This window comes from Homo sapiens, chromosome 9 (genome assembly GCF_000001405.40).
Source record: "Homo sapiens chromosome 9, GRCh38.p14 Primary Assembly".
In the NCBI taxonomy this organism is placed as follows: domain Eukaryota; kingdom Metazoa; phylum Chordata; class Mammalia; order Primates; family Hominidae; genus Homo; species Homo sapiens.
In genome coordinates, this window is record NC_000009.12 from 130,888,133 (window position 1) to 130,912,231 (window position 24,099).

At 58.4% G+C, this 24,099-nt stretch overlaps 2 protein-coding genes across 5 annotated transcripts in view, besides 4 other annotated features; both read right to left on the bottom strand.

Annotated features, from left to right (window-relative positions):
- Window positions 390–684: a silencer, noted in NCBI's record as "tiled region #3771; HepG2 Repressive DNase matched - State 17:Gen3', and K562 Repressive non-DNase unmatched - State 25:Art". NCBI's record gives its function as "represses a minimal TATA promoter and a strong SV40 promoter by Sharpr-MPRA in HepG2 and K562 cells {active_cell/tissue: HepG2 | K562}" and the evidence as "EXISTENCE:reporter gene assay evidence [ECO:0000049][PMID:27701403]".
- On the bottom strand, window positions 4,575–8,680 carry QRFP (pyroglutamylated RFamide peptide). The gene is made up of 3 exons (NM_198180.3): window positions 8,445–8,680; window positions 7,565–7,849; window positions 4,575–5,706 (listed from the first exon to the last, which is right to left on the bottom strand). The coding sequence occupies exon 3, from the start codon at window positions 5,704–5,706 to the stop codon at window positions 5,296–5,298; it is 411 nt and encodes a 136-aa protein (NP_937823.1). The 5' UTR covers window positions 7,565–7,849; window positions 8,445–8,680; the 3' UTR covers window positions 4,575–5,295.
- Window positions 5,498–6,012: an enhancer, noted in NCBI's record as "H3K4me1 hESC enhancer chr9:133769017-133769531 (GRCh37/hg19 assembly coordinates)". NCBI's record gives its function as "activates a minimal SCP1, AML or CMV promoter by ChIP-STARR-seq in naive H9 embryonic stem cells {active_cell/tissue: H9 hESC(naive)}" and the evidence as "EXISTENCE:reporter gene assay evidence [ECO:0000049][PMID:30033119]".
- Window positions 6,801–7,488: an enhancer, noted in NCBI's record as "H3K4me1 hESC enhancer chr9:133770320-133771007 (GRCh37/hg19 assembly coordinates)". NCBI's record gives its function as "activates a minimal SCP1, AML or CMV promoter by ChIP-STARR-seq in naive H9 embryonic stem cells {active_cell/tissue: H9 hESC(naive)}" and the evidence as "EXISTENCE:reporter gene assay evidence [ECO:0000049][PMID:30033119]".
- Window positions 7,489–8,175: an enhancer, noted in NCBI's record as "H3K4me1 hESC enhancer chr9:133771008-133771694 (GRCh37/hg19 assembly coordinates)". NCBI's record gives its function as "activates a minimal SCP1, AML or CMV promoter by ChIP-STARR-seq in naive H9 embryonic stem cells {active_cell/tissue: H9 hESC(naive)}" and the evidence as "EXISTENCE:reporter gene assay evidence [ECO:0000049][PMID:30033119]".
- A 5,627-nt stretch (window positions 8,681–14,307) lies between the features above and the next one.
- The window catches only part of FIBCD1 (fibrinogen C domain containing 1), a 38,270-nt gene continuing 28,478 nt past the window's right edge, over window positions 14,308–24,099 (bottom strand). For all 4 annotated transcript variants that reach the window (XM_047423989.1, NM_001145106.2, NM_032843.5 and 1 more), the window contains 3 exons: window positions 23,660–23,756; window positions 17,102–17,281; window positions 14,308–16,191 (listed from right to left, as the gene is read on the bottom strand). In XM_047423989.1, the coding sequence (XP_047279945.1) occupies window positions 15,932–16,191; window positions 17,102–17,281; window positions 23,660–23,756 (537 nt within the window). In that variant the 3' untranslated portion in view covers window positions 14,308–15,931. The remainder of the gene's footprint in view (window positions 16,192–17,101; window positions 17,282–23,659; window positions 23,757–24,099) is intronic.

The following is a 24,099-nucleotide window of genomic DNA, read 5'->3' on the forward strand; positions in this document are numbered from 1 at the left end:
ACTCATGTTCCTTGAGCCAGGTGTCTTAGGTCTTTGTGTGGATGAGGAGGAGCGGAGGTGTGAGGTGTGCTGGGCCTTCAGGGCCTGGGAAGGCCATCCCAGACTGAGCCCCACCGCCCTTTCCCAGCTCAGTCCCCACCGAGCTGACAGCTTGGAAAGGGGCGGTTGGGAAGTGAGTAGCACCCTCTGATAATGATACTGATCAGGCCAGCAGGTTTGTCAGGGGTGCACATCCTGCTCAGCAGAGCATATGAAGATCACAGCTTGGTGAAGCTCCACTCGAGAGACCTGGAGCGAGACTGCTGTGCGGTGGGTGACAGGTGGAACTCCAGCCGGGCCGGGGCTGGTGGAGCCCACTGCGAGCAGTGCCAGGCACAAGATTCTCCCCCTCTCATTTCACAGGGACAAAACCAGGCTGGGGCCCCCAATTTCCTTGCCGGTTGAACCATAGCTGGCCACCAGATCCACCAAGCCTGGGGCTTCTCTTGTCCTTTGAATGGCTGCTTCTCCCAGGTCTGAACGAAGACATAGGACAACTCTGGTGACAGCCACAGCTGGTGGCCGCTTCCTCGTGTCAGATGTGGACGGTCACCCCGCCCTCCCAGCGCTAAGCGCTGAGACTGCGTGTCCAGAGTCGGCTCCTGCACGTGAGGCCAATTGGTCACACTGGGCCAGTGTGGAGGAAGACGCCTCTCATCTCCCAAATGGGGATCTTTCATGGGTGTCACCTGAGCTTATAGAGCTTAGTTTAGTCTAGCCATTCCAAGACAGTGGTTTCTTAACCTTTTCTAGGTCACAAAACCTCCTGAGAACCTAATGAAAACTGGATCCCAGCCCCAGAAAAATGCACCTGTGTGCACACACCCAGCAGTTTCCAGGTCATTTCAAGTCCTGCCTTCGAGGTCCATTGTTATTATTTACAAAACACCAGCCTAAGGTATTGGACATTTTCTTAAAAGGCCAGGCAAGGTGGCTCATGCCTGTAATCCCAACACTTTGGGAGGCTGAGGTGGGTGGATTGCTTGAGGCCGGGAGTTCAAGACCAGCCTGGGCAACATAGACCCCATCTCACAAAAAATACAAAAATAAGCTGGGTATGGTGGCACCTGTAGTCCAGCTACTCAGGAAGCTGAGGTGGGAGGATTGCTTGAGCCCAGGAGGTGGAGGTTGCAGCAAGCTATGATCGTGCCACTGGATTCCAGCTCCAGAGTGAGACCCTGTCTCAAAAAAAATTTTTTTTTCTTTTTTCTTTTTGAGACAGAGTTTCGCTCTTGTCTCCCAGGCTGGAGTGCAATGGCACAATCTCCGCTCACTGCAACCTCTGCCTCCTGGGTTCAAGCGATTCTCCTGCCTCAGCCTCCCGAGTAGCTGGGACTAGAGGTGCGCACCACCAGACCCGGCTAATTTTTGTATTTTTAGTAGGGACGGAGTTTCACCATGTTGGTCAGGATGGTCTCGATCTCTTGACCTCATGATCCGCCCACCTTGGACTCCCAAAGTGCTTGGATTACAGGCATGAGCCAGTGCGCCCGGCCCACCACTTTTTTTTTTTTTTTTTTTTTAAGACGAGTCTCACACTGTCGCCCAGTCTGTAGTGCAGTGGTGCCATCTCGGCTCACTGCAAGCTCCGCCTCCCAGGTTCATACCATTCTCCTGCCTCAGCCTCCCAAGTAGCTGGGACTACAGGTGCCCGACACCACTCCCGGCTAATTTTTTGTATTTTTAGTAGAGACGGGGTTTCACCATATTAGCCAGGATGGTCTCTATCTCCTGACCTCGAGATCCACCCACCTCAGCCTCCCAAAGTGCTAGGATTACAGGCATGAGCCATCGCACCCGGCCAAGCCCACCACTTTTTTTAATGAGAGAGTTTTTGTTACTGTCCTCCTCTGACAGGTAAGGAAGCTGAGAGGCTCAGAGATGTCAAGCAGCTCGGCCAAGGTCACACAACATGTACCAGCTGGTGCCTACCACGGCAGTCTAATCAGTAGACAGTGCAGACAGCCCCAACAGGACCAGGAGAGAACTGTGCCCAGGGCCGGATTTCTCCCTCCACAGTGGAAGAGAAGCAGCCAAGTATTACAGCCAGCCCAGCTCCTTGGGCCGCAGAGATCATCTCAGGAGGCCTTTCTAAACGGAGTGCCCTGGGGAAGCAAACTCTAAACGTCCTCGTACGAGAAGACATTAGGTGAGACCAGGCTGACCACAGTGTCCCTGTCAGCACTGCCCTCGTCCCTGGGGGTCACCTAATGTCTTGCTCCCCTGCCCCCACACTCCAGTTGATATCACTGCTGTAATCAGGGAAATCTCTGAGCTCTTTTTCTGGGAGGGCATTTCCGAGGGGCCAAGGAGCTGCGGATTGGAGGAGCACCAGCAGCACAGGGCATGCCCCTGCTCCCTACCCAGAAGCTGGAAAGTACCATGTCAGGTTTGGGGTCTTCAGTGAAATCTGTCAAGCAGCGTCTTTGGCACTGGGGCAAAGTTAGGATGAGGTGGCTTCCCTCTTGATTACTACAGCAGCTGTCTATGGCTGACTGTCCCCAGGAGCCTGTTTTGTTTGGGGTTTTTTCTTAAATATTTTTATTAGTATTTCAAACATACAGGAAAAGACAAATGTTTTCCATTCATCTTGATAGCTAAATACCTTTAGATCTACACACCAAGATGAAGACCGCCTTGTGTCTTGGATAAATGTAACGAGCAGATGCTGGCAGCTCGCAGGTGCTCTGGGCTGGAGTAGTTAGAACTGCCGGGCCAGGTGGAGTGAGCCAGCACTGCTCAGGGGAGCTTCATCTCTCTGATTCCAAAATAAATGTTTTCTGGAGTCTCAACTTCACCCTCCTGGAGAGGGGTAATCTTATCTGTGGAGGAGAGAGCAAGGGCTGAGGGGGCGCTGGGGTGGCATGAGAGGCCCAAAGACCTTGACAGACACGGTGGGCTTGGCCGCGGGGCACCGGGTTAAAGAGGAGGCTTAGCCAAGCCCAGCGGGAGTTGATTTGACAGCAGTGCCCTTAGCAGCTTGATTGTTCGGATTTTCAGGGCTACTGAGCTCAAGTGTACAAGCAAACTGGAAAGAATAGCTTTGTTGGGTTTTTTAAAGTGATAAAAGCATAATGACAGCATATCCACTGCTTTGAAGGCATCCCCCGCCCCCGTGTTCTTTATCTCAGGTTTTTCCATCAAGGTTAATCTAATCCTGCTAAATTAACAACCAGCCAGTGCATCCCCAAAGAGCCTGTGGAATGTGCAGGGTGGCTCAGCCTCGGTGTTCTCTAAAGTACTGGCTGTGGGTGGCTCCTTGCTCACTTGCAGAAGTTGGCAAGTGACGAGTGGCCAGGGGACCGTGCGTCAGGGCGTCCCTCTGCCCTCAGCCTGCTGTGTTTCACCCGGTCTCTGGTGAGCACATCTCTGGCTGCTTTGCGTGAATGAGCCAAGGGAGGGATAGATCTAGCTTACTGCCTCCCCCTCCCTTAAGCCAAGCAGAATGGGGTGTGTGTGCACACCTGTGGTGAACGAATCTGTCCGTTCACCCTGTGCCAGGGCCGTCCTTACAGCAAGGACCCCGGGGATGTGTCCGTCCCCATCAGTGTCATGTTAGCAAGCAGTGACAACATCCCTTTGCAGGAGGCATCCTGAACCACTCTGTCCTCAGACAGTGGCAGAGCCCAAGAGAACAATGTGCCCCACCCCTCCACCAGCCTCAGGAATCATTGTCTTGTCCCCATCACAGCAGCCCTAAGACTCAGGGCACATGCGCCAAGCCTGGGGGGCTAGTTTCTGTGTGGGAAGCGATGGGGAAGCGGTGAGGAGCTCCTGGAGAAGGTGGCAGCTTTCATACCGGGTGATGTTCTGACTCTGGTGTTCTCTCCCATCTCAGCACCCATTCTGCTCCCCAGTCAGGTTGGTTCTTTGTGGCTCAGATCTGTCACCCCTTAATGAAGTGGCTTTCTGGCTGCCAAGGATTGAGAGCTGCTACTGAGGAGTATAAGTCACTAATAGCATGGAAAACACTGTGAAATACTCCAAGGTGCCAAGCTGGGCCCAGCCCAGTGTGGTTCTAAAAGGCTAATAAAAATCCACCAATTAATTGTGACAGCTCAATGGGAAATTATTCAATTGTGAACAGGGGCAAGCTGCAGCTCGAAAGGAGGAGGGGAGGGGTTGCCATAGTAACATCAATGTAAGTTCTCATCTCAGCAGCGGAAGCCAGCCCGGGAGTGAGCAGCATCCGACCGCCGCCTCTGACACGGGATGGGATGCAGGAGACACCAAAGGCGCGTTTGAAACAGATGCTTTGCCTGGCCCCGGGCCTGCAGCCACTCCCGGCTGAGCGTGGGCTCTCCCCGGGGCAGAGAAGTTGTTTTCCGAATGTTCCTTGCTCTTAGGAAACCTGGGAAGGAGCAGCCGAGTGGAAGTGAAAAGCACATGTGCTGTGTTCCTCCGCCCCTTTGACCGACTGCCGGTTACAGGGATCTAGAGGAGGGGTGTTTGGGTCCAGTCAACAGGAGCTCCATCTCCCGAAAGGCAAGGCACCCAGAACTCAGACTGTGGGGGAGGCCAGCATTCCAGTATGGTTTTGCAGTTGTCACAACTTTTATTTGAAAAGATACACACGACATATTCTGATTTTGAACATGTGAAATGCAACCTTGCTATAGCAAAAACGGGATTCCTTCCCAACGCATCTCCCAGGAGACTCCTGGCCGGGCTAACACTGGGCCGCGGAGAAGGGCTGCGGTCAGAGGGGCAGGCAAACCACAGCAGGGGCTTCTTGCCAGGGGGATCTTGTGCTCATGGCATGGAGAAGGGGATCGGGTTCTTTTTTCCCATTTTTAACTTTCAGAACCATCCTCTGTACCCAGTGGAATGCACTCATTTGCACTCTGATGTCAGCCGCAGTCGTGCCTATAGAGACTGTCACAACTTTGATTACCCAACTGTAAGCACTCAGCCCGCTGCCTCGCTCTGCTATTCACACTCATGGCCCAGCCACAGCCTCAGCTCCGTGCCCCTGGGGCCAGGGGGCTGCTCGGAGTCAAAGCCCCAGGGGAAGAGAGAGGCTGGGACGACCGAGGCTCCAAGACAGCCTCCTTTTTGACACTGCCTAGTTTTTCGCTTCAGCAAAGTTGGAAATCAAAAGTAAGCACACACCTAACCTGTCCTACCATGGATCGTTCATCGTAACCAAGCCTACATCATCTGGGTGTCGTGGTCTTTGAGACTGGGGGAGAAGGCAGGAGTGAAGACAATGGGGGTGAGTCCAAGAAGCAAATCCTTCCAAGGCGTCCTGGCCCTTCACCGCCGACCGAAGCGGAAGCTGAAGCCGCCTTTCTTCCTGCTGTAGCCATTGAGCTCCTCAGCCAGGTTCCCTAACGGGCCGCTGGTCTTCTCCCCCGCAGCAGGGAGGAAGCCGGTGGCCTCACTGCCTTCGTCCTGCCTCCCGAAGCGGAATCTGCAGCCAGCATGCTCTCTGCCCGATGTCTGCAGCCCCCTGGCTATGACAAGCAGGGCCTGTGGCTGTGAAGCTCTCAGCCACCGAGAGGAACCCCACACGGAGTGGGGTCGGGGCCCCATGGCCAGGTCGGCCCAGCGTTCTCCAGCTCCGAGGCCACCCATGGCGTCTGTGGGCTCTCTTCTGTCCAGTAGAGGGAAGCAGGCGCCCAGCGGCAGGAAGAGGAAGTAGATCAGGGGGTAAGGCCTTACCATCTGACCCAGAGGAAAGAGAGGCAGAGTGACAGGCTGCACACGTGGCCAAGCGCAACTCACCAAAATGTTTCCCCGGGACAGGCTGGCAGCGTAGATGTGAGCAGGGGGCTCAGCTGAGCCCGGCTTCCGAGCAGTGCTGGGACTAGGCCACTGTTTTATTAGCAGGATCAGGAGGTGATTGTGCCAGTTAGGCCGGTTCTTCTCCTGCAGTCCCCACGATCTGCGTGCCTGGGCAGCTTAGCACCGTAAATCCACCGCTGCTGGCTGGCAGAGCAGTGCCCAGGCGGCCCCGGGAGAGTCAGCAAATGTATGCTCATTTTTCTCTTATTATAAAATGGCCATATCATTGCAGAGCCATGGGGTGGAAAGTTAAAAGCATCAATCTCCCTTAGTGTTCAACTGGATAATAAATGGGTCTAGCTATGCTGTTTAGCTGGGACATCCTGCTAATGTCTCTTTCACGTGGGAACGAGTTGCTCCTGAAAGCCAGAAACAGATTGGATGGTCCTGGCCTAATTCGGACACCCACCTGGGAAGGAGTGTGTGGACACCACTGGGGCCTGGGCACCGTAGGTCTGCCAGGCTCTGAGCCAAGAGCTCACACATGTGATTGTACTTCATCTTCATAGTACTCCTGCTTGGTAGGTCCGGCCAGTCCCACTTTTTCAGGCAACAAAACTGTCAGAAAAACTGAGATTGTGCCCAGGCCACACAGCCAGAAAGTGGAGGCTCTGGATTCATGATTCTAATGGCCAGACGGCTTCTTCAAGAAGCATACATATCTGCTAGGTACTCCCAACCCTCCTATTTCACAGGGGTGGTGTCGGTCTCAAACAGCTGAGGTGACTTGCCCCAGATCTCATGGCCTTATCAGTGCCAGAGCTAGAGTTCAATCCCAGGTCTAACTGGGCTTGACTCAGGAAGGCGTGCCCTAACTCCCTCCTCTGTACTCCACATGGCACTCGGGGGATCTGAAACCCAGCCTCCTGTAATGAACCTGCCTTGGTAACACTTGCTCCCTTGTCTGGCAAAGAAAACCTTTTTGACAATGACCGCGGGGGAGCTGGAGCTGGCTTGTCCTCCGCAGAGTCAAACTGAGGCTAGACTAGAGAGCACCGGCCCTGGAGAAGACAGTACAGGAGTCCCCAGAGCCCTTTCCAGAAATGGCTCCCTCGAACACATTTCAAAGAAGCGAGCTCAGCCAGGAAGCTTTTAAAAAAATAATACATGCAACCCCACTTTCTACCCAAATCCAGTTCTTCTAAGCTTTCGTCCCCCAGGGATGGAGTGACCTCCCTCATGCTGCCAGGAAAACCTTTCCATCAGGGCGCAGGCAGAGTGGGGGCTTCCACGAGGTGACTTTCTGCAGCGGCCCAGCCCATTCCCTCCTCCCCATAGGAAGCACTTTGCTGACTGCGATGTGGACCAGGGACCGTTGCATCCTGGTGGATAAATCCACCCGGGAGTGGCCTCTGGGTGTCTAGAAAGGAGACAGCCTGACAGAGCAGGCCCTGGAGTGGCCCTTCACCCCTTTTAGGGGTTCATGCACCCCTTCAAGAATCTGGTAGAAAGTGGGGATGCTCATCACGGGACAGGCGGCCCCAGCGCGAGTCAGGGCTTCAGGCCCCACAGCCAGGAAGGGACAGGAAAAGCACGGGTGAGGCTGGGTCCCAGCCCTGGCAGGGCAGCCGTGACCAATCTGTGCTGCTCTGGGCTGTTGGCAGGGGAGGCACTGGTGTCCCCTCTCCGGGCACTCCCTCCCTGTGCTTCTGTGTGCCCTCTGACTGCCCATGCCTGGCTCCTGCCTGGGCAGGGCCTGAGCTGGGGTTCCTGCTGGGGACAGGGCAGCTATGCTCACCGTGTGGCTGGGACTGCTCCCAGGAAGGCTGGCTGGTGGATCGCTGGGCTCCGGGGCTGGGCTGGGCAGAGCTGCTCTGGGTCCTCGTCCAGGAGGCATGGCCCCTGGGCTCTCCCTGCTTTATATGGCCCGCGGTGCGCTTGCTGCTCTGCCGACTGCCTGCTGCGCATTCCTGACCCTGGGATTCCATTGGGGACGCTGTTGTTGAAGAGGGGCAGTGCTGACCGCGTTGATAAAAACAACCTCACACAGGATGTAGTCTGATGAGAGGGCAGGCGGGCTGCCCTTTGGAGGAGAGCAGACAGCATCATTAACTGCAAATTGCGGGCACAGACCCTCGAGTCCCTTGGCGGGGGTTCCAAGCCCACCCTTCACCCTAAGGGTCCTGCCTTTGCTGGGTTGGCACCTCACGCTCCGGAGAGGACATGGGGTGGGTGGACATCTACCCGACACACCTACTGCCCAGCTTGCAGGATGGCTTTCATGGGCAGGAAAGCCACAGACACCCATGAGGCCCGTGTTTCACAGGCACCGGGCTGCGCGGCTAAGCCAGGTGCACCTCCCCGGCAGGTGGAGCCCTCAGCGGCCTGTTACCCAGGAACCAACCAAGGGGGCACGGCAGATGCCCAGGACAGCAGTGGAGCATTTGCCTGTGGCCCCCAGCCCCTCCCACCGCATACCCTGGGTGGCCCCCTACTGTCACCGAGGGTCACCTCTGGGAGGCCAGCAGGAGGACCCAGCCTCTGCTCCTTGCCCGGCAGAGATTCTCCCTCCACTGAGAGCAGGCAGGGGGGTGATGAGGCAGCCCCACCCCACCACTGTCAGGAACTGAGCACAGAGGGCCTCCCCCATTCCAGGGGCCCTCACCCAGCCGACCTACCCCTGCATCCCGGCTGCTGGGGGATCAGAAGTCATGGGAATAGAGAGCCTGTGGACACTTCCCCAGAGACCTGAGGAAGGCACTGGAATCTCGATCCTCCACTTCGGGGCTGAGCGCCCAGGTTCGGGCGGAGGGTCTGCGGATTGAAGCCGATGACTGAGCTTTGCTGGCCAGAACCAGCTTCCATCCCCCAGGCCAGGGCTGCCTCCGATGGCCTGAGGTGCCCCTGTCCTGTGTGTGCATGTGTGTGTATGCCCCCACATGAGTATGTGCACACGTGCGTACACGTGTGTGTGCTCGTGAGACGGGAGGTGTGGTGTCCTTCTGTCTCCCTGGTTAGTGCTGGTTGATTCTGACAGCGGGCACCAGTTATCCATGGGGTGCCGCCCAGGGTGGGTCTCTACCGTGCTATGAGCCTGGACCGGATGCCTGCCCTCTGGGTGCCTCAGTGCTCCCTTGGTGTAAAGCGAGGTTCAAGTTCCCAAGCTGTGCTTTGCAGAATTCCTCAGGAATGGCCATGGAAGTTGGGGAAGGCAACATGGGGTCCAATCCCGCAGGCACCCCTCTCCTACAGGCACCCCACTCCCCTACAGGCTACCCCTCTGCCCTACAGGCACCCCTTTGCCCCACACGCACCCCTCTGCCCCACAGACACTCCTCTGCCCTACAGGCACCTCTCTGCCCCGCAGGCACCCCTGTGACCCACATGCACCCCTGTGCCCCGCAGGCACCCCTGTGCCCCGCACGCACCCCTGTGCCCTGCATGCACCCCTGTGCCCCGCACACACCCCTGTGCCCTGCACGCGCCCCTGTGCCCCTCAGGCCAAGCCCCACTTTGCTGTGTTTGACATGTTGAGCTCCCAGAAAAGGTTCTGCTTTGAAACCACCAGGGCCCGGAGTCCTTTTGCGGGACTGAGGTCTGTGGCTCTGAGAGGTGGTCACAGAATGTCCTGCATGTGAGGGGCTGGTCTGGGGTGGGAGCAATATTGGGGTGAGGATGAGGGGTCCCCACGTGGCCCACATGTTCCCCAGCCTCAGGTCCCCGCCTGCCCCCTTCAGACCGGGGTGCCTGGAGCCCAGTCAGGCGTTGGATTTGGTGCCAAACCTTCTGACTCCAGGGACTTGCCTGGTCCCCTCCACCCCTGGAACTCCTGGACGGAAAAATTGCTTTCAGATGCCCTTCCTGGGCCCCTGGAAGCATCTGGGTTCCCCCACCTCTTGAGCAATTGGGGGTGACAACTGTGCCACTGTTTGCCACCAGCAGCCGAGATAGGCAGGGTCTGGGCTGCCTGGATGCACAGGGTGGCCGGGGCTAGATCAGTCCAAGAGTGGCAGTACCCATCGGGGCGGCTTCCAGCGCTGGAGGCTTTTTCTGCTGTCGGGTAAATGCAGGGAGGCGAGGCGTGAGGGTGGTGGGGCTGGTGGTGCAGGAAGCCGCTCTGGGGGTGGAGTCCGTGGACCACCTCGAAGCCTGTGGGGTTCCCTGGGAAGCTGTCCTGACATAGGTCCAGGCCAGGTGCCCGCATGGCCAAGCTGACCGGCAGCCCCTGCCTGGGATTCCCAAAGTGAGGAGGCTGGAACTGGAGTGGCAACGCCTGGATGAGCTAAGGCCAGGCCCCGGCCTCGCAGACCCCTTTAACCACATGTCACTCCCGGACTGGGTTCCACAGCCGGCTCAGCCACAGCCAGCCTCCACCTCACTGAGCTTCAGATCCTCCGCCTGGCTGGGCATGACAGCAGTGCCCGTGTGGTGGGGTGGGGTTGTCGGGGTGGCATGGTGCCCGCTTAGGCAGTGTTCACTGCTGCTGCTAGGGAGGGCGCAGGGTGGTGGCCCCCATCTAAGCCCGGGTCCCCTGGGCTGTTGGCAACTGCCGCTCCGGTTCTGCTGGCCGAACCCCTCCTGCCCTGGGAAGCCGCTTCCCATGCTGTTGGGCACCATTTCTCGCGGAATTGCATGAGCCCTTGTCTGAGGACCTCTGTGACTGAGTCCTTGAACCTTTCCAGGAGCTGCCTCAGGCTGGTCTGGTGGTTGCGGGAAAAGGGTTGAGTTGGGCACACCTGCACCTGGCATGGGTGTGGCACGTGGGGAGGCAGGTGGCCATGGCCTGTGACTTCCGTGGCCTGGCTCAGGAGTCCCATCCCCAGGCGTCTCCACCTCTGCCCCTCCCACCTCTGCCCTTCCCACCTCTGCCCCCAACCTGTGCCCCCTCCCTCTTCTACCCACCCACCTCTGTCCCCCCACCTCTGCCCCTCCCTCCTCTGCCCCCACCTCTGTCCCCCCACCTCTGCCCTTCCCTCCTCTGCCCCCCAAACCTCTGCCCCTTCCTCCTCTGCTCCTCCCTCCTCTGCCCCCACCTCTACCCCCAACTCTGGCCTCCCACCTCTGCCTCCCCACCTCTGCCCCTCCCTCCTCTGCCCCCACCTCTACCCGCAACTCTGGCCTCCCACCTCTGCCTCCCCACCTCTGCCCCTCCCTCCTCTGCCCCCACCTCTACCCCCCACCTCTGCCCCTCCCTCCTCTGCCCCCCTACCTCTGCCCTCCCTCCTCTGGCACCCCCACCTCTGCCCCCTCAAGCTGTCAGAGCAGTGGGCATTGTGCTGGCTGAGTGAAAGTCCATGGTGGAGGGAAGAGTGGGATTCGTCTTCTGTGAACCCGGACTTGAAAACCTCCGGCCGCACGGGGGGGTGTGAGACTCCCCGGCTGCCCGCCCCCGACAGGTGCCAGACAGAGGCCGAGCACAGGGCAAGGCCACTGCCGCTCTTTCTACTGGCCCCGTGCGGCACCTCCCACACAGGCACTCGATAAATACTGGATTTTATTAAATAAACTCCAGGGATTGTTTTATCCGTAAGCCTCAAATTGATGTTATGAATAAATAGCCATGGGGGACTGTTCATTCAATAACGTGTCTCAGTTCCTTGGAACTCTGTCCCCAGCCACAGGGACCCACAGGATAGTTTATCACCCCGGGGACCCGGGAGGGATGCACCGATGCCGCAGGACCCGGGTTCATCCTCCAGAGCCCAGACCCCAGGAGGACCGACCCCACTGGGCGCGGCTTGTGCAGGAGGCAGGCCCTGCGTCCGCCTGACCAGGTCCAGGCCATCTTTGCAAAGCCCAGAACTGGCCCAGTCAGAGGGTCTTGAGCAGCCCTAGTGGGTCCAGAGCTATCTGGGAAATGCCTTTTGGCTGCTCTAATGAAAATGGTGGCTGGGTGCAGTGGCTCATGCCTGCAATCCCAGCAATTTGGGAGGCAGAGGCGGGAGGGTGGCTTGAACCCAGGAGTTCAAAACCAGCTTGGGCAACATAGCTAAGACCCCGTCTCTACAAAAAGTAGAAAAAAAAAATTGCTGGGTGTGGTAGTGCGCACGTGTAGTCTCAGCTACTCAGGAGGCTGAGGTGGGAGGATCGCTTGAGCCCAGGAGTTCGCCACAGTGGGCAGTGATGGTGCCACTGCTCTCCAGCCTGGGTGACAGAACAAGACCGTCTCTAAAAATAAATGATGAGAGGAGTTCAGGGGAGACAGAGCGAGAGGCAGTCCTGGAACACGTGGGTATCTGATCCACTCAAGCTCTGACACGAGGCTTGGAGTCCGGCTGGAGGCAGAGACCAGAGCTGGGTCACCATGAGACTTTATTAAAGACAGAACGCACAGACACCAAGTGCTGACAGCCTCGCCTAGCGATGCTCCCATACCAGGCTTCCTCCACCAGTCGCTGTGCTGGCCCTCTGAGCTCCCTCTGCAGCCCTGGCCAGTGCTGTGTGGCCCGAGTCAGACACACCTGTCAGCGCATGAGGGGCCAACGTGGCCAGCCTTGAGCCAGAGCTCCCAACACTCCCTACAAATCCCACCGAGGCCCGACCTCAGCCCTCTGGGTTTGCCAAGTCCTGCCGGCTGCTTGGGCCACACAGTTTGGGGACATCCTTGTCTCTGAAAGCAGATGAAGAAATGGAGGCCCTGGGGAAGCCCGGTCCGCTGAGGCCAAAGCTTAGTGTCCTGTCTCCTTGTTCTGGGTTCTGTGTGTCCCCTGCTGGGTCCTCCTGCCGGTACATTGCTCCTGAAGTCACAGGACGGGTCTGCCGCTGGCCACAGGCGTTCTTTATGTCCCGTCCCCCCATCTCACACAAACGGTACCTCTCCTCTTCCTTCCCCTCCCTGGAGCCAGCGTCCTCATGGTTTGAGATGGTTCAACAATCCTCCAAATCTCTGCCTGCTCAGACACGCCCCTGGGTGACAGGGCCTCCAGAGACCCTGGCTCCCAGCTTCCAGGGCTCTGGCCCCAGCCAAGCCAGCCAGAGGCCTGTGTGGACGAGGACAGGTGGCAGGAAGGGTTAGGGGCACCAGAAGGAGGTAGGCACTGGCGATACAGCTTTTGTCCCAAAGACAAACATTATAAAACCAATTTACACGCAGCTGCAGGGGAAAGCTGTTTGAGAATGGCTCACAGCTCTGTTCCTTTGCTGTTCTCCAGCTGAATGTGCTGAGGCCACCAGCATGGAAACCAAGGTTCCTTCCATCCTCTGGACCTTGGTGCTCAGGCAGTCAGCTGCGTGGCCTTTGGTGTAACTCTCTGAGATATGTGTGAAGTTTAGGGGAAAGGAGGAAGGCCACTGGCTGAGCCACAAAACCTACCTGTGCACGTGGAGAAGCAACGGCGCAGGTGCGCTGCCTCCAGGTCCCAGTGTGGCGATGCAGAGACCCCTCCCACTCAGCTTACTCCCCTCAAGTGAAGCAGCAGGAGGAGGCTCAGTCAGGTGGCATTGTGGGATGGAGGGCTGCAGGCATCCACCCTCAAACTGGGTCCCAGGGGACGGTTTGGGGCCCGTGGGTCCCAGGCGACCCTGTGCACATGCTAGCCCTTGGCCTGGTCACTCAGCCCACAGGTCTCGAGCTGTCCCTCGCCCAGGGCTCTCCCAGCATCCCCATCCTCCTGTCTCAGATGAGAGCCATTTGCACTGGTATCAGACCGTAGGCTCTGCAGGGCTAGGGTGAGAGGGTGTGGCCCGGAGCAGGTGCGCAGGGACCGTTTTTCCCCAGTGCCAGCCTTTGAAGGTGCCCCTGGGGAGGGTGGGGCCGGTGCGCTGGCCTGGGCCCTCCCCACCATGTCAAGCTCCGTGCCCATTCAGCCGGTGCTTGGTAGGGCCATGTGCCCTCTCCTGGTCTGGGACAGGGGCCGGTGCTCTAGGGCAGTAACAGGGCTCTAGAAGGGACAGGCATCCCCAGTGCAGCCAGCCACTGAGGACAGATGCTGCCGGGACCTGGACCTGGACCACAGGCTCACAGGCCACCTGCACCTGCCCCCGGCCCCTCGCCAGGCCCCAGCCATGGTGCATCTGTTCCACAGCCAAGCCCTGGCACGAGGGCCCTGGTGCCTCCTGCTGCACCCACACATCTGTGAGTCCATTAACTTCACACTCACCAGGAGTTTGTTTGATGACACATCAGAAAGTGCTGGCACTTTCTAAGCAGTCGCTGGCGCAGTCACTGGCATGGGGAGGCTGGTAGCTCCTGCCTGGGGCCTGTCGGTGGGGGGCTCCTGGGATGAGAACTCGGGTCCCACCCAGCCCCTGCAATATGACAGGGTGCTCTGGGAACCCAGATGGTCTGGGTGGGCTCCCTTGGCTTCTAGATGGTGGGAAGAGGAGCCAAGAAGGGATTTCCCGTTGAATCTCATGTGGTCATTTTGCCCACATCTTGCCCCTTGTGGCCCCGCACCTGGCCTGCTCCAGCCACCACCCCGGCCACACTAGGCTGCCACTGCCTGATTCTTGGCTGTATCTGCGTCCAGCTGAGGACCGAGAGGGCAGGGACCAGGTCCTGTCCAGCCTGGGCCCACGGCAGAAGGAAGCGCTGCAGACATCTGCGCATGTGGATGACCTGGTGGCACTGGGACAGAGAGCCAGGTCACACGGCCTCTCCCACCAACCCCCAGTGGTGCCAAGTCAAATTTATTGTTTTTTAAGCACAAACTTCAGTGGGAGGGGAAGGGAGAACGGAACCCCACACCCCCTAGGCACCTGCCATCGGGTGTCCTTTGGAGGAAGCCACCTCCCCTCCTGCCCGAGGAGAGGCTGCTAGGCAGCTCCCCAAGGCTGACTCCAGCCCTTTCGGAGGCCCCCCATCAGGAGGCCTTGGAAAAGCCGCCCTGCATCTGGGCCTGACGTAACGCACGCGGGTCCAGGGCTGCTGAGCAGACAGCTGAGGACCCGGCTCCAGCCCTGCCCTTGTGGCTGCTGGTCCTGGGAGCCTGCGGGTCTCACCTCTGCATGTGTGCACACAAGGAGTGGGGATGACAGCGTGCTGGGTGTTGGGAGGATTCAACAAGAAAGTGTCCAGGTGGTGCCTGGTCTGGTGCCCCAGTCCCCCCGACCCCATTTGCCCGGTGAGGTGGTCCCTGTCCCTTGACCACTCGCCGGGCCGGGCCTGGCCTGGGTCCAGGTGGCCACGGTCAATGGCAAGGGTTGGCCTCCTCATGGAGACAGCCACCTCAGGGAAGGGGTCATCACCCCCAAGGCCCTCCTGGGAGGCCTCAGGACCCTGGAGTCCCTGGGAAATTGGTGGTGGGGGTTGTACAAGCCTCATCCCAGCCCTGCCTAGGCCCCAGCCCAGAAAACCAAGAGCTTCCCATTAGCGCAGTCCAGCCCCACGGTGCAGGGCCCCACCCACCTTCCAGAGGCAGGAGAAATGGGATGGCAGCCCCAGCTGCCCCAGGTAGGAGGACGGCCGGGAGCTGGGTGGGGGATGGGTTGGGCCTCATTTGAGACAGAGAGCAGGTGGGCACAGCAGGTAAGAGGACTGCAGACCCCAGGCCTGCCGGGGCACAGGGTGGGTGGCCTCCAGGGAACTGGTCTCAGCCTTGGAGCGTGGGTCCCCAAAGGCAGCAGCTCCCCATCCTGACCTCAGGGCCTGGTAGGATGGGGCCACCCAGCCCACAGCCAGGCTGAGGCCCTTGGGGGAGAGGTGGGTTCTCTGGGCACCAGGGAAACGGGGTGGGGGTTGGCATTGGGAGGGCTGGAGGATACTGGCCTCAGACCTGACCTCAGAGAGACCTGACGTTCCCCACGATCTGCTAGGAGGACTCCAGGGGTGCTGTCTGCCCCCTGCTCTCTGTCCCCATAATGCCGGGTATTTGGCCGGGCAGGGCAGAGGGTGCCTGGGGCAGACTCCACCATCCTGGCCAGGGGACGGCAAACAGCACCGGAGTCACAGTGGGGGCAGGCAGGAGTTGGGGTCGTCAAGTTTGCCAGCCCCCATCAGCAGAGGCAAGAGATCAGTGAGCTGCCAAATGGAGGGGGTGGGGACGGCGAGAAGGCGATGTGTGACTTCACCGGCCCAGGGAGCTTCGTGTCAGGGATGGCCCGGCCCCTCCCTACTGGAGAGTGGGTCCGCCAGGCACAGGTGGGTGGAGAACATTCACGAAAGAGTGAGGTGGGGTCGGGGATGGGGCGACAGGGACCAGCAGGGCCAAGGACAAGGTGCACCAGTCTAGCGGTCCTCCCGGACCGGCCGGATCTTCATCTCAGAGAACTTGAGTGAGTACTGCCAGCCGGTCCAGGAGGACCACTCCACGCCGTCGGCATAGGAGGCGTGCGCACCGCGCAGGTACTGCCCATTGAGGTTGGACGTGTGGCAGTTGCGGTACCACCAGGCACCGCGGTAGAAGGCGGCACAGTTGTTCTCTGAATGGTCGCTGTCACGGTCCTTGGTGGTGAACCTCATGCCGCTGTGCTTCAGGAGGGAGTCGCCTGCGCAGGGGTGCACACAGGTGTGGGCACGGGGGGCACGGGTACACCCACTGGTGTTGCATGTGTGAGCAGACACCGAGACACTGCACGTGCACCTGGACGTGAGTGCATACACGTACGCACGTGCTCTCACACATACTGCTGTGCACGCGTGCAAGCGCACCTGCCCCTCCACACCCGGGTGTGTCCATGCAGCTCACACGCACGCAGTCCCTTCTCGGGCGTGCCTGGGGCTGCCCCTGGGTCTAGGCGGTCTCTATCCCTCCCCCCAGCTTTTCCACATTCCCTCTCCTGCCTCCCCGCTCCTCGGCCTGAGAGGGGAAACCCAGCCCAGGGGGGTCCAGCCACCACACTTTAGAGACCCAGCGGACCCGAACCCCGGGTCTCCTGATTCCTGGCTCTGGGCTCAGTTTCTTTATCTGCAAAACGGGAAAACAGTCCAGGCTCTGCTGGCTTCGCCTTGCAGGGGTGAGGACCAAGCAGGACTTGGAGGAGGAGGCAAGCAGCCTTGACCCTGACCCCAGAGGGCCGAAGGGCATCATCAACACTATTATGAAAAAACGAACAGAAGATTCGCAGAAGCTCATCTTTTATGACATGCAACTGAATCAACTGATGAAGACAAGGACTGAGGGATCCTTGGTAAGGAAGAAAATTTTCCCTTTTCTGTCTTGTTTACTCTTCCAATTTGAAAAATTTATTACTTAAAAAAAATTTAGATTGGTTTCAGGCCTCTGATTGTGATGTGGGGTTGGTAGTTTATCAATATTTGTTATTTTTCAAAAACCTGATTACTTTCAAAGGGGGAAAAATACATTAGCCTTGATCATTTTGGAGGGCAGGACCTCCTCCGTCCTCCATCCTCCCAGGCCGCCCCCCTTCCCCATCCCTGCCACAGCTGGAGCCTCACCTGCAGTGCCGGAATAGTCAGCCACGGTGAGCGGGTACCCGTCTTCCTCAGGGTCCACGGAGAACAAGCCCACGCCGAAGCTCCCGTAGCGGGCATAGGCCGTGCCATTCTCAAAGTCCTCCAGGTCCACGTGCAGCTCGTAGGCAGCCTGTGTGGTCAGGGCGTGGATCCTCTTGAGCCCTGAAGTTGGGGGGAAAATGGTGGGAGAAGCTGAGGGGCGTAGGAAGCGACTCCCCAGGGAGAAATGATAAATGACAGCTGAGCTCATGCAGTTGGGGACAGAAAGGGACAACCACCAAGTGCGTGCAATCAGCCCTGGGCTACTTCCTTCTTCCTGCAGGCCTGTGTTGGGCAAGCCACTGAGGACCGACAGTTTTCATGTTTGGTTTTCTCTGTTCCCTTTAAGTGGAGCTGTGATGCTTTTCAAACGTTGGGGCTCTGAGCTGGTGGGAAGACTGCAGGAGGCGGGAGGAGGTGGGGGTGACAGCACCCTTACCCAGACTCCAGCCAGAGCCAGACAGACAGGATCTGTGTTCGCATTTTCCTATACCTGGCCTCTGGGCCTTTGCACATGCTGTTCCCTCTGCCAGGATGCTTGTCCCTACTCCTCCTCACTTGGTTACCTTCTATTCATTTCTGGAAGGCTGCCTGACCTCCTGTCGGCGTTGAGGACCTCCTCTGCCAACACATGTGCCCCTGTGGGTATTTATCTTTCAGGGTCCCGGCTGCCTATCTTGTCAGTTTCCCCACCAGTGCGGAATTCCCGTGACAGTGGCATGTCCGACCTAGCCACTGCTGACCCCAGTGCCTGGGGTGGGGCCTGGCACAATGGTGCTTACCCAGCGCTGGCTTAGTGGATGGGAGGGAGTTGGCGGCACCCTCACCCCTCTAGGCCGGCTCTGTGCCCCCATCCTACTCTCTCCCTCCTGCTGTCCCCGCCCCACCTCAACTCTGCCCTGCCCATCCCCGGGGTCTCATGCCAGGCCTCCCCTACCATACACATACGTGCTCAGACTCCCAAGATGCTTCACTGCTGGTGTGGTTACTCTTGATTAAGAGGGCATTTAATGAAATGTTTCACAAGTTAGTAGCAGCGAGTGGTATTCCATCCGCTTCTCCCTCCTGCCTGCCTCTCCCCGGCTCCGCACCTCCCGGGGTCAGTGTGTGCTGGCTGGAGGCTGTGCGGATCCTCCCCCATCCCGCCCGGACAAGAAGCCTTTGGTCCCAGTCACCAGGTCCAGGGACCAGGAGCAGCTACTGTGGGAGGAGTCACAGCAAAGCTGACCGCACGACCCACGTTCCTCCCCAAGGACCTGCCAGGGCATGGGCTTTGACAGCCTAGGGTCTCACCCAGGGTCCCCACCTCCCTGACTCTCCTGCTGCTGAGTCTCAGGGCAGCCGCTCTCCCTCTCTGGGCCCCAGCTCGGCTGGCGCAGGGCTGATGTGAGGGGCCAGGAGAGTGTCATACACAAAAGGGCAGGTGGGAGGTAATCATGACAACAGCCGCCACCTGGACGGCACTCGCAAGGGCCCAGCACCGTTCTCAGCCCTTCGTGCAGATGAGTGAATCCAGTGGAATTAGAGTGAGTCTAATTTAATTACAGAATCCCTGGGCGGCTCTTCTGGCAGGGCTGGCCCGCTGCACACATTATCCAGGTGCTGACTGCTGCTTCCCAAGGCCCCGGGGAAGGAGTGCCTATTACTACCTATTTTATAGGGGAGGAAAATGAGGCCCAGGGAGGTTAAGGAGCTGGCCCAGGTCACGCGGCTGCTGAGTGGCATTGCTGGGATTTGAACCCAGGCAGAAGGGCCCCAAATCCCTGCTGCTATTCAGACCTTACCCAGAACAAATCAGATGATGCAGGAATAGGGAGAGAGGGAGACCGGCCCCCCGGGGATGCTGGAAGATTCCTTTTCCCACCACTAATTGGCCATTGGCACCCAAAGGCCACCATTAGCCACTCCTCTGGGTTGAGTGACAATTCATGAGCGGTGTCCCGGGGGCTGCTAGGCAGGACGCCCGAGGGAGGGGTGGGTGGGGACCTGGGGCCTGGGTCCTCTCCGTCCTTCCTCCAGTCCACGCCACCTCCTCCCTCCCTCGCCTCCCTGCCCTTGCTCTTTGGCTTTCTCCAGCTCTCCCAGCTTTTCCCTGGCCTTCCAGGACCGCTCCCAGCCACGTTAGCTGTTCTTCCCAGATTCCCTGGGCCCCTGATCCAACTCCTTCACCAGCTCCCGGCTCAAATCGCCAAGAGCAAGAAACAGGGCTGATGGCTTGAAACAGACAGGAAACCACTAAGACCCTAAACTTCACATGTCCACCCCAGTGGACTTCCAGCTGGACTAAAGCTGTCAACCTAAAACAACACTAGAAAAACAGAAGAAAAGCCTGGGCGCGGTGGCTTACGCCTGTAATTCCAGCACTTTGGGAGGCCGAGACGGGCAGATCACGAGGTCAGGAGTTCGAGACCAGCCTAGCCAATATGGTGAAACCCCTGTCTGTACTGAAAATACAAAAATTAGCCGGGCGTGGTGGCGGGCGCCTGTAATCCCAGCTACTTGGGAGGCTGAGGCAGGAGAATCGCTTGAACCCGGGAGGTGGAGGTTGCAGTGAGCTGATATCATGCCACTGTACTCCAGCCTGAACTACAGAGTGAGACTCTGTCTCAAAAAAAAAAAAAAAAAGAAAGAAAAGAAAAACAGAAGAAAAAATAGAGGAGACTTAAAAAAAAAATAAAACTAGGAAGGGAAGGAAAGGAAAGCAGGGGCTAAAACCCAGAAAAGATACAAAGAAAAGGGTGGCAGAACTGAGTGCATAAACATCTTAAATTTCTAGGAAATAAATAATAACATGACCCCACAAAAGAAAAAGAAAAAGCTGAAAGACAAATGGCCAGAAGTTAATACCTATCATGTGTTGGACAAATGATCGGTAACCTTAATATATAGAGAGCTTCCATGACTCGATAGGAAAAGACAAAGCACTCATTGAGAGGGGATGGGGAGGGTGGTGCGGCAGAGGAGGGACTGGCGCTGTTGACATTCCTGTCAGGGCTCGTCTGCAGGATGCTGGAATGAGGACCTGCTTAAATGCTTCCTCCCGCATCATCTGCAGCTGCTGATAGATTTCAATTAAGATACCATGAGCACGGGCATCACCGCTGCTCCAGGGGGTGGGTGGTGGCGAGGGCATGCCTTGGCCCTGCCGCCTTGTCCTTATCTTTACCCCCAGCTTGGGGAGCCTGAGGCAGGGTCTCCCCATCTCCCCTCCTTCCACCCACCAGGTTCGGGGATGAGGCGAGCTGGGTTGGGCGCCAGTGTGTAGACCCTGCTGGGGCTCCCCCAACCCCAACACACGCAGGCTTGTGACAAGGGACCTCCCTTTCCTAAGCCTCAACTTCCTCATCTCTAAAAGGAGGGGACGACAGCAGGGCCCCCAACTAGGTGGGTGTGAGGCTTTGGGGACGATGCATGGGAAGCGTGTAGCTGGGTGCTCAGTGGGTTGGGGGTCAGCACGGGGTGTGGGCATGAAGTCCACACGGGGTGTGACCTTCCCTGTTGTCGGCACCCCCTGGGCACCAGGGCACGGCAGGTCAGAGAGGGCCCTGCTCTCATGGGCCCCGGTGAGGAGGGGGCATGGGTGGCAGATCTTGCCCAGGGGCCTCCATGCACACAGAGGGGCGGCCCCGCCTCACCACCCCAACCCTGCCTTTGGGGCCCCCGACCCCCCATCTTCCAGGGGTGTCACTGAACATCCTTACAGGCCTGGAGCCCTCCTGACCCCGGCTGGTGCCCAGACCTGCGCTCTCAGCCTCTCAGGTGGTGCTTCCCGCCAGGCACGCAGGCCCACCCTCTCCTTCCCGCCTAAGCCTCCCTACCAGCTCTGACCCCGCTCGCTCGCAGGGGAGTTCCTCAGATGTCCACACCCTTCTCACCCTCTCCCTCCACCACCAGCTCTGCCCCGCACTGGGGAACTCCCGGGATGTCCTCACCCTTCTTACCCTCTCCCTCCCTCCCACCCAAGGCGCCCCCTCCGCCGCCCCTCGCCCCCAACCCCCACAGCTTGTGGAACTCCCTGGATGTCCGCACACACCCGGGGGGCTTAAGTGCAGGAGGACACTGTGGGGCATTCGAGGCCGCCCAGATGACACTCGGGGCACACATTCCCCAGCACCTGTGCGTTTCATGTATATTCAAAACCTGCAAGGAGTGACTGCTCCCGGGGGTACAGGGTTTCCTTCTGGAGTGAGGAAAAGGTTCTGGACCCAGTGGCAATGGTTGTAATATTCTGAATATACTAAAAACCACAGGGTCATACACTTCCACACAGGGAATTTTGTTGTATGTAAATTATATCTCAAGAACAACCAGAAAAATCCACCTCATTTCAAGCCATAGCCACTTCCCAAATATATATAGGTAGATAGGACCTCAAAGTTGTGATTCTTTTAGGATGTTTTGTTAAGATAAATGTTTTGTTTAGATAAATGAAGTTTTGTTTAGAATATTTTGTTTAGATAGTGAAATGTTAAAAAAAAAAAAGAAATGTTAAGGACTTTCAAAAATTCTAAAATACTGAGTGAATTTAAACATAGGTAATGATATTGACAGAACCTTCTGAGCTCCTACTTTGTGCCAGGCAGGGACTGTGTCCCAGTGGCAGGAAGGCGTGCGGTTGCCTCCAGGCCCAAACAGGAGCCCTGGCTGGTGAGAGGTGACAGCGTGCTGGCAGTCCTCACAGCCCTCCCTCGCTCTCGGCGCCTCCTCTGCGTGGGCTCCCACTTTGGCGGCACTTGAGGAGCCCTTCAGCCCACCGCTGCGCTGTGGGAGCCCCTTTCTGGGCTGGCCAAGGCCGGAGCCCACTCCCTCAGCTTGCAGGGAGGGGTGGAGGGAGAGGCGCGAGCGGGAACCGGGGCTGCGTGCGGCGCTTGCGGGCCAGCTGGAGTTCCAGGTGGGCATGGGCTTGGCGGGCCCCACACTCAGAGCAGCCGACCAGCCCCGCTGGCCCCGGGGCAATGAGGAACTTAGCACCTGGGCCAGCGGCTGTGGAGGGTGTACTGGGTCCCCCAGCAGTGCCAGCCCACCGGCGCTGCACTCGATTTCTCACCGGGCCTTAGCTGCCTTCCCGCGGGCCAGGGCTCGGGACCTGCAGCCCGCCATGCCTGAGCCTCCCACCCCCTCCGTGGGCTCCTGTGCGGCCCGAGCCTCCCTGACGAGCGCCACCCCCTGCTCCACAGCGCCCGGTCCCATCGAGCACCCAAGGGCTGAGGAGTGCAGGCACACGGCGCGGGACTGGCAGGCAGCTCCACCTGCAGTCCCGGTGCGGGATCCACTAGGTGAAGCTAGCTGGGCTCCTGAGTCTGGTGGGGAGGTGGAGAGTCTTTATGTCTAGCTCAGGGATTGTAAATACACCAATCGGCACTCTGTATCTAGCTCAAGGTTTGTAAACACACCAATCAGCACCCTGTGTCTAGCTCAGGGTTTGTGAGTGCACCAATCAACACTCTGTATCTAGCTGCTCTGGTGGGGCCTTGGAGAACCTTTATGTCTAGCTCAGGGATTGTAAACACACCAATCAGCACCCTGTGTCTAGCTCAGGGTTTGTGAGTGCACCAATCAACACACTGTATCTAGCTGCTCTGGTGGGGCCTTAGAGAACCTTTGTGTCCATACTCTGTATCTAACTAATCTGATGGGGAGGTGGAGAACCTTTGTGTCTAGCTCAGGGATTGTAAACGCACCAATCAGCCCCCTGTCAAAACAGACCACTGGGCTCTACCAAGCAGCAGGATGTGGGTGGGGCCACATAAGAGAATAAAAGCAGGCTGCCCCAGCCAGCCTCGGCAACCCGCTCAGGTTCCCTCCTGCGCTGTGGAAGCTTTGTTCTTTCACTCTTTGGGTCCACGCTGCTTTTATGAGCTGCAACACTCACCGTGAAGGTCTGCAGTTTCACTCCTGAGCCAGCTAGACCACGAACCCACCAGAAGGAAGAAACTCCGAACATATCCGAACATCAGAAGAAAAAAACTCCAGGCGCGCTACCTTAAGAGCTATAACACTCACCACGAGGGTCTGCAGCTTCATTCTTGAAATCAGTGAGACCAAGAACCCACCAATTCTGGACACACTCAGCACCACTGGCCACTCTTGGGAGTTCCATGCCTGGTGTCCCTGGCACCCTTGGGCAGGGTGGGGCCGGGTCCTCCTCTGTCCTCCTGCTGCCTGGGATGCTGCTGACCACCTGCCCAAGCTGGCTTGATTCAGGACAGCCAGCAGGTCCCAGGGTGACCCCGGCAGGAAGTGGCCTCCAAGGGCATGTGGGACCCTCAGCCTTTATGAGCACTGGGAGCCCACCCACGCTGACACTTCCGTTGGCAATGTCTGGCCTCATTCCTTCTGAATGCCTGTCACCTTCATGCATGACACCTGTGAGCTGGCTCAGGTGTGCCGAGGCCAGGGAAACCCAGCCCAAACCCATTCAGGGAGCAGCTGGGACCCAACTGTGTCCGGAAGGCAGGGGGAGGAGGCCCACCTGGGCCGGATGGTGGGTGGGGTGCTCACCTAGCCAGTGCTCCCCGGTGAGCCTGCCAAAGCCGTCTCGGTACGCATCCCAGCCCCGGAAGAAGTTCACGGAGCCGTCCTCCCGGCGCTGAAACACCTGCAAAGGGAAGATGGGGATGGGGCGTTGGCACCGACCATCCCAGGACTCGCAGCCCACCTGGGCCCACCCCGCCCAGAGACTCCCCTCACCCTGCTCCCAACCTGCCCTCTCGGGAGGGCAGGGGCCTGGTTGCCCACTTCCCGCAACGGCCCCTGGCCAGGGGCCTGGAAAACAGCAGAGGTTCCAGAGCCTCATGGTGGCTCGAGGTGGGATTAACCAAATGCCCACAGGCCCCCAAGACGGCTCCTCAGGGAGGAATTCCAGGCCGGGCATGGTGGCTCATGCCCGGAATCCCAGCAAGGAAGGCTGAGCCCAGGAGTTCGAGACAACATAGTGAGAC

Excerpts from the sequence above, each read along its gene's own strand:
- QRFP (NM_198180.3), bottom strand. The coding sequence starts at position 5,706 with ATGGTAAGGCCTTACCCCCTGATCTACTTCCTCTTCCTGCCGCTGGGC.